The sequence below is a fragment of the Homo sapiens genome, chromosome 3 (assembly GCF_000001405.40).
Source record: "Homo sapiens chromosome 3, GRCh38.p14 Primary Assembly".
Lineage (NCBI taxonomy): Eukaryota > Metazoa > Chordata > Mammalia > Primates > Hominidae > Homo > Homo sapiens.
Window position 1 is genome coordinate 172887310 of NC_000003.12, and position 13955 is coordinate 172901264.

Below are 13955 nucleotides of genomic sequence, written 5' to 3' on the forward strand. Positions count from 1 at the left end.
GGCCCCAGGGCAAGATGCTGTGTGGTGGGCACTGGCTTCTCAAACTGGCATCCTGCTGCAGCTACTTAGGACCTGGGTGTTCCTGGGACTCTTTGTGAGCTCCCTCTCTGGAGTACAGTCTTCAGGCCGTTCTTTATGTTACTCAGGGCCTGCAAGGGTCAAGGGGCTTTCCAGTGGCTAGGACTGCAGGAGTCTGCAGTGGGAATATGGACCAGTTGAGGGGGGGGTCTCTCACTTACCCTTCACCTGCATTAGAAAGCTTCTCCAGGCTCCCAGCCAATCCCAGCTGAGCAGGCTGACCTGCTTCCCTTTCCTTCCTTGCTCTCAGTGTTTCCTGTCCCTTGTCAGATGAATTCCAGTGTTCTCTCTCATATAATCTATTTGAAGTATAATTATCTACTTGCTATTTGGTTCTTCTTTGTGGAAGAAGCAAGTGCTAGATGCATTTAGTCAGCCACCTTGGACTGTTTTGTCCCCTGATAATTCTTTTACCTTATTGAGGAATCCCCATATTGTTTTCCAAAATGGTTGTACTAATTTACAGTACCACCAATCATCTACAAGGGTTTTCTTTTCTTCAAGTCCTCAACAACACTTAATATCTTTAATCTTTTTATAAATAGCAAATCTAGCATATGTTAGGTGATATCTCATTGTGGTTTTAATTTACATTTCTCTGATGATTAGAGTTGTTGAGCATTTTCTTATATATCTGTTGTCTACTTGTATATCTTCATTTGAGAAATGTCTTTTCAGGTCTTTTGCCCATTTTTTAATATGGTTATTTGTTTTATTTTTACTGAGTAGTTTGAGTTCCTTGTATATTTTAGATATTAGTCCTTTGTCCAATAAATGATTTGCAAATATTTCATCCCAATCTGTGGGTTGTCTCTTCATTCTGTTAATTGTTTCCTTAGCTGTGCAAAAGCTCTTTAGTTTGATGCAATCCCAGCTGTTTATTTTTGCTTTCATTATATGTGCTTATGGGCTCTTAAGAAATCACAGCCCAAACCAATGTTATGCAGCTTCCCTTCTATATTCCCTACTAGTAGTTTTACAATCGCAGATCTTACATTTAAGTCTTTAACCCATTTTGAATTGATTCTTGTATAAGGAGTGGAACAAGAGTCCATTTTTACTCTTCTGCATGTGGATATCCAGTTTTACCAATGCCTTTCATTGAAGAGATCATCCTTTTCCCATTGTGTGTTCTTTGCACCTTTGTCAAAAGTCAATTGACCATAAATGTGTGGGTTTATTTTAGGGCTCTGTATCCTATTTCACTGGTCAATGTGCTGTTTTTGTGCTAGTACCATGCTGTTTTGATTCCTATAGCTTTGTGATCTATTTTGAAATTCAGTAGTGTGATGCCTCTAGCTTTAATATTATAATTTTTTGTATGTTATTAGGTTAAGCATTGGATAAACTGTCATAAATCATTTAGTCTATTACTTCTGCTGTGAAATTTTGATTGGGTTCATTTTATTTTTTGAGCTTTTATCAATGTATTCCAAAATTCTATTTATTTTTCACTATTAAACAAATTATGTTTTTCTATTTTACTCAGGATCTGGGCTCCTCCTCCTTATTCTATTCTCAGATCTTTTTATTGGCATCAGTTGAGGTCTTCAGTGATGGCTATCAACTCACTACCTTGTCAAACATGCAAACTTGACTATCTTGTCAAATGTGTGTTGCATAGCTTAAGGGGCAGAGAAAATACAATATAAAGGATCTAGAGGAAAAAAACAACTTAATGAGACAACTTAACTGATGTCAGACATACCATGTATGACTATCTTTATAAGAGTTGGGAAAGTACATTATTAGTTTTATAAGTTCAATTTTGCATTTATATTGTTTTCTGTATTTGTAGGTGGCCTGTGAATGATTCTTAATGAATATACATGATTATAGATGTATACTATAAGCATTATTGGGTAGACCTGATATACCTTTGTCCATTTTGAAAGATCAAGGCAGTGAAAGAGGTATCAATGGTTATTTTATAAGCTCTTTAACTAAACAAGAAAAATCTGAACAAAAGTCAAGTCAAACTTGCTGAGAATATTTATTGCTGCCAGTTGAGATTAATGAAACATAGAGTGTCTTTGGTAAAGATGAACTGAGGGGAATACCACCTCTTTCTTTTGGTGACAAGCTTTTGTTATCCAGCTTCACAGTACTAGGTGGGCATTGGAGTGGATGCCCTTGCCTCTTCTTCTGGGATATCTTAGTGGTAGTGCCTGCTCCCTAATGACTACCTTTGCTGAACAGTTTGAAGTCGCTTCATTTTTGTTTTTTGCCTTCGAGCAGTTCTCAGTTTTTTAGTTTTTAAGAAACTGTCCTCTAATTGGTATAGAAAATCTTCAATTTGTCCAACCTAGAAGAAATAAACAGATGCAACAAGATTTGTTGTTGTTTTCCTGGGTTTTGTATACTTATAAAAACGGTGAGGTATTTAAAATAAATGGCACATACAAATCCATGTTGGAACAGAACTGGCAGAAACAGAAATGATTACACATAAAAGCCTTCTTCTGTTTCCATTACAGGTCTCCCTGTTTTACTAACTTAACACAAAGCAGAAGTGCAGGAGTTTGCCTTATCACTTGGTCCAAGGTATTGGGAATGGAAATGGGGATTACTGTCACCATGCAGTTTTTAATGGTCAGTAAAACCAGGGATTTCAAAGGAAAGTGAATGGTAAAAGATTAATCCATGGCAAGCCTTTTCTCCATCTCCTTTATCAACAATAAGAGTGAAAACAAACAAACAAACTTACCTCCTTCAAAGCCAGAGATTCTAGCATTTAGATGCTCCTAACCAACATGGGAGAAAAATGAGTATTTGTATAGTCTTGGCAAGAATCATGTCTCCTTTCAATCAAAATTCTGAAAGAATGCATTTTCTTAAAAAATGCCACACTCCAGGGAATAAGGTAAAATAATGTTATACACAACAATTCTTGAAAAAGAATTAGTCTTTCTTCAAAGAAAACTTGCAATTATTCAATGGCAGTTGATAGAATGTAGTATACTGTTTGTCAGAAAAAACTATAGAATAAAAGTTTACACATATGCTGAATTGATTTCTCATGAAAGTCAGTAGATATACGATTCATACTTAACCCTGACTCCTAGGACCTGCATATTGTATTAGCCTAACATTACTCACTGAAGAGCTCATTGTCATAAAGTTAACTCAAAGCTAGAGCACTTACTATTCAAGGTACATGAACGTATCATCACTTAAGATAAAAGCACTTACAACTTCAATTTTCCAATTTTGAGTTCCACTTTTAAATTGCTTGATTTATCATTCAGAGTAATATCCAAAGGATAATTCAGATTGTCAAAAAGAGAATAATAAATGGTAGCACTCATCCATATGTTATGCTTAGGTCTCATATCATACCAGTGACATAAATGGTCCACTGTTTTTTTTTTTTTAAGAAAACAAGATAAATTATTTATATGAAAACTATTCTTTTTGAAACCCTTGTAAAAACTATTTCAGGTACATTTTTTAAAAAGCACATTGTTTTTTATGATGTCTGATCATTGCAGGACACATAAAAATAATTTGACAGAATCTTTTTGGATTCCTCCATGAAGTTAATGCATTATTCTATGTATTCCATATATATATACATATATATATATAATATGTGTATATATATATACACGCACACACATACACATATACACTATCTGATTTTCACCAAAATAAGACATTAAAAAATTAACATGGAGCACAGTCAGTGCAAATATAATGGATGGCAGCTTACCATTACTTCAATAGTTGAGTTGATGATTCATTCACATTATTTGTATTGACAATGTATCATTTAAATCAAAGTTCTTTACAATAAGAATATTTGCAATTAGCCCAAATATAATTTTAAATTACAATTCTAATGCAGCAAAAAGCTTCCTTCAATAAGACAGTGAAATAATTGTTTTTAAATATCCATTAGGTATCTGCTGTCTTTTAAAAACAATTGTGTTCATTAAGAGCAGTACTGAGTAATGGGGTTGCATTTTATTTTAAAAAGACAAGAAACACAAGATATGTCACTGGAATAAAAGAATTCCGCTGAATTAACTGGGCAGGTCCAGAGCACATACTATGTGCGTGCTGTATCTGGCCTGTATGTTCACCTCCTACCTGGCCTGTCTCCCTCCTGTGCTTTAATCCATCTCATAATGATGCTGGAATGAACTTTTAAACAGATAAATCTGATCTCACATCTTTCCCTTGCTTAATTATATTAAATGGATTTCTAAACCCTTAACATGGTCTATACACCTCTACACCTGGGTTATCAGGTTTCACTTGTATCTCTGGTGCTGTCTAACATCAATCCATCTGCTTTAGCCATGTGGGACATCTCTCAATTATCTGAGCACAGCCATGCATTGTTCTATGCCCCCTCGATCTTCCTAATGGAACATGTCCATTAGAACACTTACATATCCTCTAGATTTCAGGTCAAACATCAATGCTTCAGGGAAGTCTTCCTTCAGAACCCAGGCCAAGTTGGTTGTCTCAGTAACATTTTTTCATCTCTTTAGATATTGTAATTTTTAAACTTAATTGTTTATAATGATTTATATAACATCTGTCTTCTCATCTGGACTTTCAGCTCCATAAGGCAGGGACCAGGTCCATGTTGTCCACTATTTCCAAAACCTAGGATATTGTAGAACCTCAGTAATCCTACTCCCTGATAAAAGACTTGAAGAGTTTCACAAAACCATGTGTTTTTCCATATTTAAGTCATGCCTGGAATGAGGGATATCAGAAGGCATTCTTTTCTTCTATAAATTAAATAAACATTACTTTCTCTTGCCACCATTCTTTTACCATTGTTTAGCTTTGAGAGTGTCTTGCCTGTGTACTTGAAACAGCCAGGAGTAGAAAGGGCACTGGATGAGGAGTCAGTAGGAATGTTGAATTCTGCTCTCGGGTTGGCTTCTAACACTGCTCTGTGACCCCAGGGAAATTACTTGGCCTTTCTGAACTTCAGTTTTCACCAACAGTTGGTATTAAAAGAGGGTTGGCCTGGATAATTTCCAAAGACACATCTGGTCATAAAATTCCATGACTCACACTCACATCAGAGCCAAGTAGTCCAATCCTAAAACTGAGTACTCACATTTTCAAATCAGAGGTTATTCCCTTAGATTACACCATTAGATAAATGACACGATATGCAGCAAAGTAAGTCAATTTTAGCTTCTATACTTACTGACGTGTAGGAGAGCTGCAACATGTTTTTTAGAAAAGCTGGTTCTTTATTTTCTTTTTTTTATGTCAAGGAAAGAAAAATGCTGGTTAAAGAGAAAATAGATTCATATAACTAGAAGAACAGATTGCAAATGATAGAAATTTCTGTAAAGCCCTTAGGAAAATAAAACACAAAGAAATATGTAAGTACACAAGAAAGGACACAGTTTTTGAAGCAGAGGCTTTATTAGACTCTCTTTGGTACAGAATCTACTTGCTTAACTGTATCAGATAGGCTACTTTGTCATTCTGGGTCTAATTTTCCCCGTTGAAAAATGGGCAGATAACTTTTTTTGTGTATATATGCGCCAATGCAGACTTGACATTACAGTGATATGGACATTAGACCAAATGAGCTTGTAGAGAATTTTAGGATGTCTGATGATTGAGGGGAATGAAATATCTCAGTAGGAGGGCAGGTTCTGACCCATCATATGACTGTTGGTCATAACCCATATCAAAGAGTAAGGAAATTGTCATCAGTCAGTTTCTCAACACCTTTTAATTCACACTTAAACACTACTATTATGGGTTGAATTGTGTCCCCCTCTAAATTTATATGTTAAAGTCATAACCCCCAGTACTTTAGAATGTGGCCTTATCTGGAGATAGGGTATTTACGTAGCTAATCAAGTTAAAATGAGGTCCTTAGGGTGGGCCCTAATCCAAAATGACTGGTGTCATTATAAAACAGGGAAATTTGGAGACAGATGCACACACAGGAAGAATACCATGTGAAGAGGAAGGCAGAGATTGGGGTGATGCCCCCACAAGCCAAGGTACGATAAAGAATGCCAGCAAATCACCAGAAACTAGGGGAGAGGCAGGGAACAGTTTCTTCTGCACAGCCCTCGGAGGGACCCAACCTTGAAGACACTGATTTCAGGCTTTTACGCTCCAGAATTGTGAAATAATACATTTCTGTTGTTTAAGCCCCTCAGTTTGTGGTACTTTGCTATGGCAGCCCTAGCATCTGAATATAACTACTAAGCCATAAAGTGAAGGGAAGAGCAATTAAGTTATAATTTTCCCCTCAAACATGACTTTGATCCTTTCCAAAATTATCATTTCCCACTGATGTTCCCTACTTGGTTGGTGCCCCCTGGCACAGGCTTAGTGTATACCTTGGGAACCAGGCTTCTCTCTTGCCACTAATGGCCGTGAGAAGAAGTTGATCTCAAACATGAATGAACAAGTAAATTATACTGAGAAGGAAGATGCTGGGCTTGAATTTAGGCTTCCTATTAAATTTCATGTAGTCTGAATCAAGGAGAGAGGATTAGGTGTGTTTATATGGGTTTGCTTGCGCATGTTCATGCCTTAGGAATTGAGGGCTCAAATAATTTTTTTTTTAATTAAAGCTTTAAAAGTTTTTTTAAAGAAGAAAGTTGAGGAAATAGGAATAAAATTCATCAGGAATAAATATCAGGTTTATATGAATGTAGTGGTAGTTACAGAATGGGAATGTGTTTTCAGTGATTAGCAGTTTGGACCAAAATCCTCTCGGTAAAACAGACATTTCACTCCACCACAGTGGATTTGATAACATTAGTTTCTTTGCTCTGTTCCAGTTTTATTTCCAGACCAAAAGCTTTTAAATATTTATCATCCAAAATGGTTTGAATTTTAATTCTTATTAGAATTACAATTGTTTTCAAATAGGCTTGAAATTAATTTCTAAAATAAACTTAAGTTTCTGAAACGGAGTTGTTTCTACTATTCATAATATAGCAGTTTCCTTTAGCTTTTGGCTAGTATTCAAACAGACAGACAAGCCCCTAAGTTTTTTCTTTTTCATTTAGTGAATTTGGTATATTATTTAGTATTTTAGTCATAAGAGTGTAACATAAAAATCTGGGGTACCTACCCCTGAGATTTTACAAAACATGCAAAAAAAAAAAAAAGCCAAACTATATCACCAACTCTTGAAAATACCCATAATGATAACACTTTTCAGTATATTTAATATAGAGTTAGAAAACTATTATGAAATTTTGCTATCACATAGTCCAGGAAACTATGTGTTATGGTCTGAATGTCTCTGTCCTCCCAAATTCATATGTTGAAATTCTAACTCCCAAAGTGATAGTATTAGAATGTAAGATCTTTGGGAGGCGATTAGGTCACAAGAATGGAACTCTCGTGAATGGCATTAGTGCCCTTATGAAAAGAGGCCCAAGGGAACTTGTTTGCTCTGTCCACCATGTGAAGACACAGCTAGAGTGCACCAACTATGAACCAGAAAAGGGGCCTTCAGTGGACACTGAGTCTGCCACTGCCTTGATTTTCCAGCCTCTGGAATGATGAGAAATACATTTCTGTTGTTCATAAGCTACCCAGGCTATGGCATTTTGTTATAACAGCCTGAACAGGCTAAGGTACCATGTATCATAGTTAAAAAAAAATTAATTTTGGTAAGATTTATCTGAAGGTTTGAATATATATTATTAAATTAAACTTTTGTGTTGGGATAATTGAGGATTCACACACATCAGTAAAAAGAAACTCAGCAAGACTCAGCATATTTTTTACCCAGTGTCCGTCAATGGTAATATCTTGCAAAACTGTAGAATTCTACAGCCAGGATACTGACATTGATACAGTCAAGATACGGAACAGTTCCATTACCACAAAGATCTCTCATGTTACCTTTTTATAACCATCTGTTTTCCTCCTGGTCCCTAACCTCTTCTTAAGCCCTGACAACCACTAATAAACTAATAAGTTTTTTTTTCTTGTCTTTTGTTTTTTGAGACAAGAGTCTTGCTGTGTCACCCAAGGCGGAGTGCAGTGGTGTGGTCTTGGCTCACAGTAACCTCTGCCTCTTGGATTCAGGTGATTCTCTTGCCTCAGCATCCCGAGTAGCTGGGATTACAGGCATGTGCCACCACAGTAGGCTAATTTTTGTATTTTTGGTAGAGACAGGGTTTCACCATTTTGCTCAGGCTGGTCTTGAACTCCTGGCCTCAAGTTTTCTGCTTGCGTCAGCCTCCCAAAGTGCTGGGATTAGAAGTGAGCCACCGTGCCTGGCCATAGGTTCTTCATTTATATAATTTTGTTATTGCAAGAAGTTTATCTAAATGGAATCATATAGTATATAACTTCACACTTCTATGGAGATTTATTCAGGTTGTTGTATCAATAGTTTATTTCTTTTTATCACTAACTAATATTCCATGGTATGAATTTACCAGTTTGTTTAACCATTCATTAGTTAGATTATTTCCAGTTTGGGGTTATTGTAAAATAAGTTACAATAATTTGGGCTATTGTAAAATAAGTTATAAACATTTGTATACAGGTCTTTGTTTGAACGTAAGTCTTTATTTTTCTGGGATAAAAGCCCAGGAGGGCAATTTCTAGGTTATATGGTAGCTGCATATTTAATTTTTTTTTTTCAGTAGTGCTGATTGGTTGGATTGGAAATGAAATCAAAGGGAGTCAAAGCTGTCTTGTGCTGAGTCAGTTCTGGGTGGAGGTTACAAGGTCAGATGAGCCAGTTTATCTGTCTGGGTGGTGCCAGCTGATCCATCACGTGCAGGGTCTGCCAAATATCTCAAGCACTGATCTTAGGCTTTATAATAGTGATGTTATCCCCAGGTTATATTTAGTTTTATTTATTATTTTATTTATTTTTGAGACGGAGTCTCGCTCTGTCACCCAGGCTGGAGTGCAGTGGCGTGATCTCGGCTCACTGCAAGCTCCGCCTCCCGGGTTCACGCCATTCTTCTGCCTCAGCCTCCCGAGTAGCTGGGACTATAGGTGCCCGCCACCACGCCTGGCTAATTTTCTGTATTTTTTAGTAGAGATAGAGTTTCATCGTGTTAGCCAGGATGGTCTTGATCTCCTGACTTCGTGATCCGCCTGCCTTGGCCTCCCAAAGTGCTGGGATTACAGGCGTGAGCCACCGTGCCCGAAACTGCCGTATTATTTTCCACAGTGGTTGTACCATTTTACATCCCATTAGTAATGTATGAGTGATCTAATTTCTCTGTGTCCTTACCAGCATTTAGTATTGTCATTATTGCTTATTTTAGCCATTTTAATAGGTGTGTAGTGACATCTCATTGTGGTTTTAATTTGCATTTCCCTAATGGCTAGTGATGTTGAACATGTTTTAACATGCTCAATTGTCATTCACTCTGGTAAATGTCTGTTCAAATCTTTGTCATTTTCAAATTGGATCGGCTTTTTTTTTTACTCCTGAATTTTAAGAGCTCTTTATAGAATCTGTATATAGTCTTTTGTTGGATGTAGGGTTTGCAAGTATTTTCTCTCATGCTGAGCTTTTTTTCATCCTTTTTTATTTTTTTAACAGAGTCCTTCCACAGGTAAAGTTTTTAATTTTGATGAAGTCTAATTTATAAACTTTTATGGATTGTGCTTTTGGCGTCAAGTCTGAGAAGTTTGCATAGACCAAAATCCTGTAGATTTTTTCCTATTCTTTTGTAGAAGTTTTATAGTTTTACATTTTGCATTTAAGTCTATAACCTAATTTGAGTTAATTTTTGTATGAAGTGTAAGGATTAGGTCAAGGCTGTGTTTTAGTTTTCTTTTATTTTTGGTCTACAGATGTGTAAATGTTCCAGCATCATTTGTTGAAAATGCTATTTTTCTTCCACTGAATTGCTTTTACTCCTTTATAAAAACAATCAGTACAGGATATATCGGTTTATTTCTGGGTTCTCTATTCTGTTCCATTGAGCTTTGTGTTAATCCCTCCATCAGTATACAAATTCTTGATTACTGTAGCCATATAAAAAGTCTTGTATTTCAAATTTGAGAGTTTGATGTCTATATTATGTGAGGTCTTTCAGTCCATAAACACAGTATATCTCTCCATTTATTTAGATCTTTGATTTCATCACTGTTTTGTAATTTTAGGCATACAATTCATGTAGATGTTTTGCTAGATTCACACCAAAGTATTTCATTTATTTGAGCAATTGTAAATAATACTGTCTTAAATTTTAGTGTCCCTGATCATTGCTGTTATATAAAAATACAACTGAGTTTTGTACATTTGTCTTGTATCTTGCAACCTTGCTGAACTCATTTTTTTGGGGGGATTTTTATGTAGACAATTATGTTATCTGCAAATAGGGAAGGGCAGATTTATTTCTTCCTGTTTTACATGCCTTTTCTTTCCTTTTTGTGCCTTAATGCAGTGGTTAGAATTTCCAGCACTATGTTGAATAAGAGTGGTGAAAGCTAATATCCTTTCCCTGTTCTTGATTTTAGAGGGAAAGATTTTATTCTTTCACTATTAAGTGTATTTAACTATAGAATTTTTGGAGGTGCTCTTTAACAATTTGAGGAGGTTCCTCTTTATCCCTAGTTTTCTGAGTATTTTTTAAATCATAAATGAGTGTCAATTTTGTCCAATGCTTTTTCTGCATCAATTGATATAATCTTGTAATTTTTCTTCTGTAATCTGTTTATATGGTAGATTACACTGATTTTGAAATATTCAAACATTCTTGCATCTATGGGATAAATTCCACTTAGTTATGGTATATAATTTTTAAACATATTGCTAAATTCTATTTGTTAATGATGTTAAGATTTTTGCCTCTATATTCAAGAGAGATTGGTTTGTAGATTTTTTGCGTACTATTTTTGTCCCATTTGGTACTGGGATAATACTAGATTTATAACATGAATTGGGAAGGGTTTGCTACTCTTGTTTTCTCTGAAAGAAATTGTGCAGAATTGGTGTTAATTCTTTAAATGTGTGGTAGAATCATCCAGTGAAAACGTCTGGGCTTGGAGATGTCTGGGGAGTTTATAATTATGAATAGTTATAGGGTTAATGAAACTATTTTATATTGGGTGAGTGGTGGTAGCATGTTTTTTGAGAAATTGGTATATTTATCAAAGTTGTCAAATTTATATATGTAGAATTGTTCTAAGATTCTCTTATTATCCTTTTACTGTCTGCAGCATCTGTAGTGATGTTCCATTTCATTCCTGGTATTGGTGATTTGTGTCTTCTCCCTTTTTTATTTGTTAGTCTTGCTAGATTTTTTTTTTTTAATTTTACTAACCTGTTCAAAGAACCAGCTCCTTGTGGCATTGATTTTCTTTATTTTTCTGTTTTCATTTCCATTGATTTCTAGTTTAATCCTTATTGTTTTCTTCCTTCTGCTTGCTTTGTTTATTTTGTCCTTCTTTTTCTAGGTTTTTGAACTCGGATTTCAGTTATTGATTTGAGATAGCTTCTTCTTTTATAGTGTATGCATTTAGTGCTATACATTTTTCTCTCATTGCTATTTTACCTGTATCCCACAAATTTTGATATATTTTCATTTTTTTTAGTTCAATATATTCTTACATTTCCTTTGAGACTCCTTTTTTGATCCATGAACTATCCAAGTATTTGCAGATTTTTCTTTTATTGACTTCTAGTTTGAGTCCATTGCAGTTGTGGAACACATTCTTTATGATTTCAGTTTTTAGAAATTTGTTTAAGTTTGTTATGATCCAGAATAGCATCTATTTTGGTGCATGTTCCATGGGCACATAAACGTTGATTAGATTCTGATGCTTGATAGTGTTATTAAGTTATTGCATATTCTTGTTGATTTTCTATTTAGTTGTTCTGTCAATTGTTGAGAAAGGGAAGTTGAAATCTCCAACTATAACTGTGGACATGTCTATTTTTTCTTTTAGTCCCATCAGTTTTTGCTTCATATATTTTGCAGACCCTCTTGTTTGTGCATACACTTAGAATCGCTTTGTCTTTTTGGTGGATTAATAATTTTATTGTTATAGAATATCATATCCCTCCCTGTCTCTGGTAACTTTTTTTGCTTGAAGTCTCCTTTGTCTGATATTAATATAACCACTATTGCTTCCCTTTTGTTAATGTTTACATGATATTTCTTTTTACATTTTTTAACTCTTAAGCTTTCTACATCATCATATTTGAAGTGAGTTTGTAGACAGAATATTTGGGTCATATTCTGAAGTCTATTTTGCCAATCTCTGTCTTTTAATTAGTGTATTTAGGCCACTTAAATTTAGTGAAATTATTGGTATGTTAGACCTTAGTCTGCCATTTTATTTTTTATTTTCTTTGGTTGTTGCTTGTTTCACTCCCCCTACCTTTTTGAGGTTAAACATTTTTCAGAATTCCATTTTGACATAACTAGAGTTTTTGATATATCTTTTTGTATGGCTTTTTGAGTATTTGCTCTAGATATTACATGTGTGTGTACGTAAAATATGTGTGTGTGTTCATTTTAAATTTGAAGTATAGAATCATTGCTTTGTCTCTTCACCCTCTCCCATTTTTAATTACCTTAAATCCTTTATATAAATTCAGAACTACATTAAACAATGTTATTATTTTTGTTTCCCCCACCAAACATGATGAAGAGGAGAAGAAAAGTGTATTATTTTTAGTCATACTTTTGCTTACTGTGTTCTCTCAGCCTTTTTGATATTTCTAGGTCTTTCTTTTGATTCCTTTCTATTCAGAAAACTTTCTTAAGCTATTCTTTTTGGGTAGGTTTTCTGATGATGAATTCTCTCAGTTTTCCTTCATCTGAGAATGTCTTAATTTCTTCTTTATTCCTGAAAGATGTTTGCATTGGGTTGGCAATTCTTTTCTTTTAGTGCTTGAAAAATATTATGCCACTTACTACTGGCCTCCATAGTTTCTAATGAGAAAGCCATTGTCATTTATTTTTTCATATAGATAATGCATCATTTCCCTCTTGCTGCTTTTAAGATGTTTTTGCCTTTAGTCTTCAGAAGTTTGACTATGATGTATCCCGGTATAAATTTCTTTGGGCTTATCCTAGTTGATATCCACTCAACTTCTTAAATTTATAATTTTGTCTTTTGCCAAATTTGGGAAGTTTTCAGCCACTATTTCTTTGAGAACTTTTTTCATCCTGCCCACTCTTATTCTTACTCTGAAACTCTGATGTCATGAATATTAAATCTGTTATTACAGTCTTACAGATCCCAGAGCCTTTTTTTTACAGTTTATTTTTTCTTTGTTGTTAAGAAGAGGTAATGTTTTTTTTTGTTTGTTTGTTTTTGTTTTTTTGGTGGAGTCTCACACTGTTGCCCGGGCTGGAGTGCAATGGCATGATCTCGGCTCACTGCAACATCCGCCTCCCGGATTCAAGTGATTCTCCTGCCTCAGCCTCCTGAGTAGCTGGGATTATAGGCACATGCCACCACGCCCAGCTAATTTTTTGTATTTTTAGTAGAGATGGGGGTTTCACTATATTGGCCAGGCTGGTCTCGAACTCCTGACCTCATGATCTGCCCACCTCTTCCTCCCAAAGTGCTGGGATTCAGGCATAAGGCACTGCGCCTGGCCTAAAATTGGGTAATTTTTATTGTCCTGTCTTTCTTTCACTGATTATTTCCTCTGTCCCTTTCATTCTGCTGTTGAGTCCATCCAATAAATTTTTTGTTATAGTTATTTTATTTTTTCAGTTCTAAAATTTCTATTTAGTTTTTCTTTATATTTTCTCTTTGTTGATACTTTCTGTTATTTGTTGTGACTGTGTTTTTCACTTAAATGTGTTTGTAATTGCTCATTAAATCATTTTTATAATGCCTGCTTTAAAACATCAGATAATTCTTCTTTTTTTGAGACAAGAGTCTCACTCTATTGCCCAGGCTGGAGTGCAATCGCATGA

The 13955-nt window shown here is 35.1% G+C and overlaps 1 protein-coding gene across 1 annotated transcript in view; it reads right to left on the minus strand.

Moving 5' to 3' along the window:
* Positions 2048 to 13955, minus strand: part of SPATA16 (spermatogenesis associated 16) — a 251879-nt gene continuing 239971 nt past the window's right edge. The window contains exon 11 of the mRNA NM_031955.6: positions 2048 to 2383. Coding sequence (NP_114161.3) covers positions 2261 to 2383 — 123 coding nt within the window. The 3' untranslated portion in view covers positions 2048 to 2260. The remainder of the gene's footprint in view (positions 2384 to 13955) is intronic.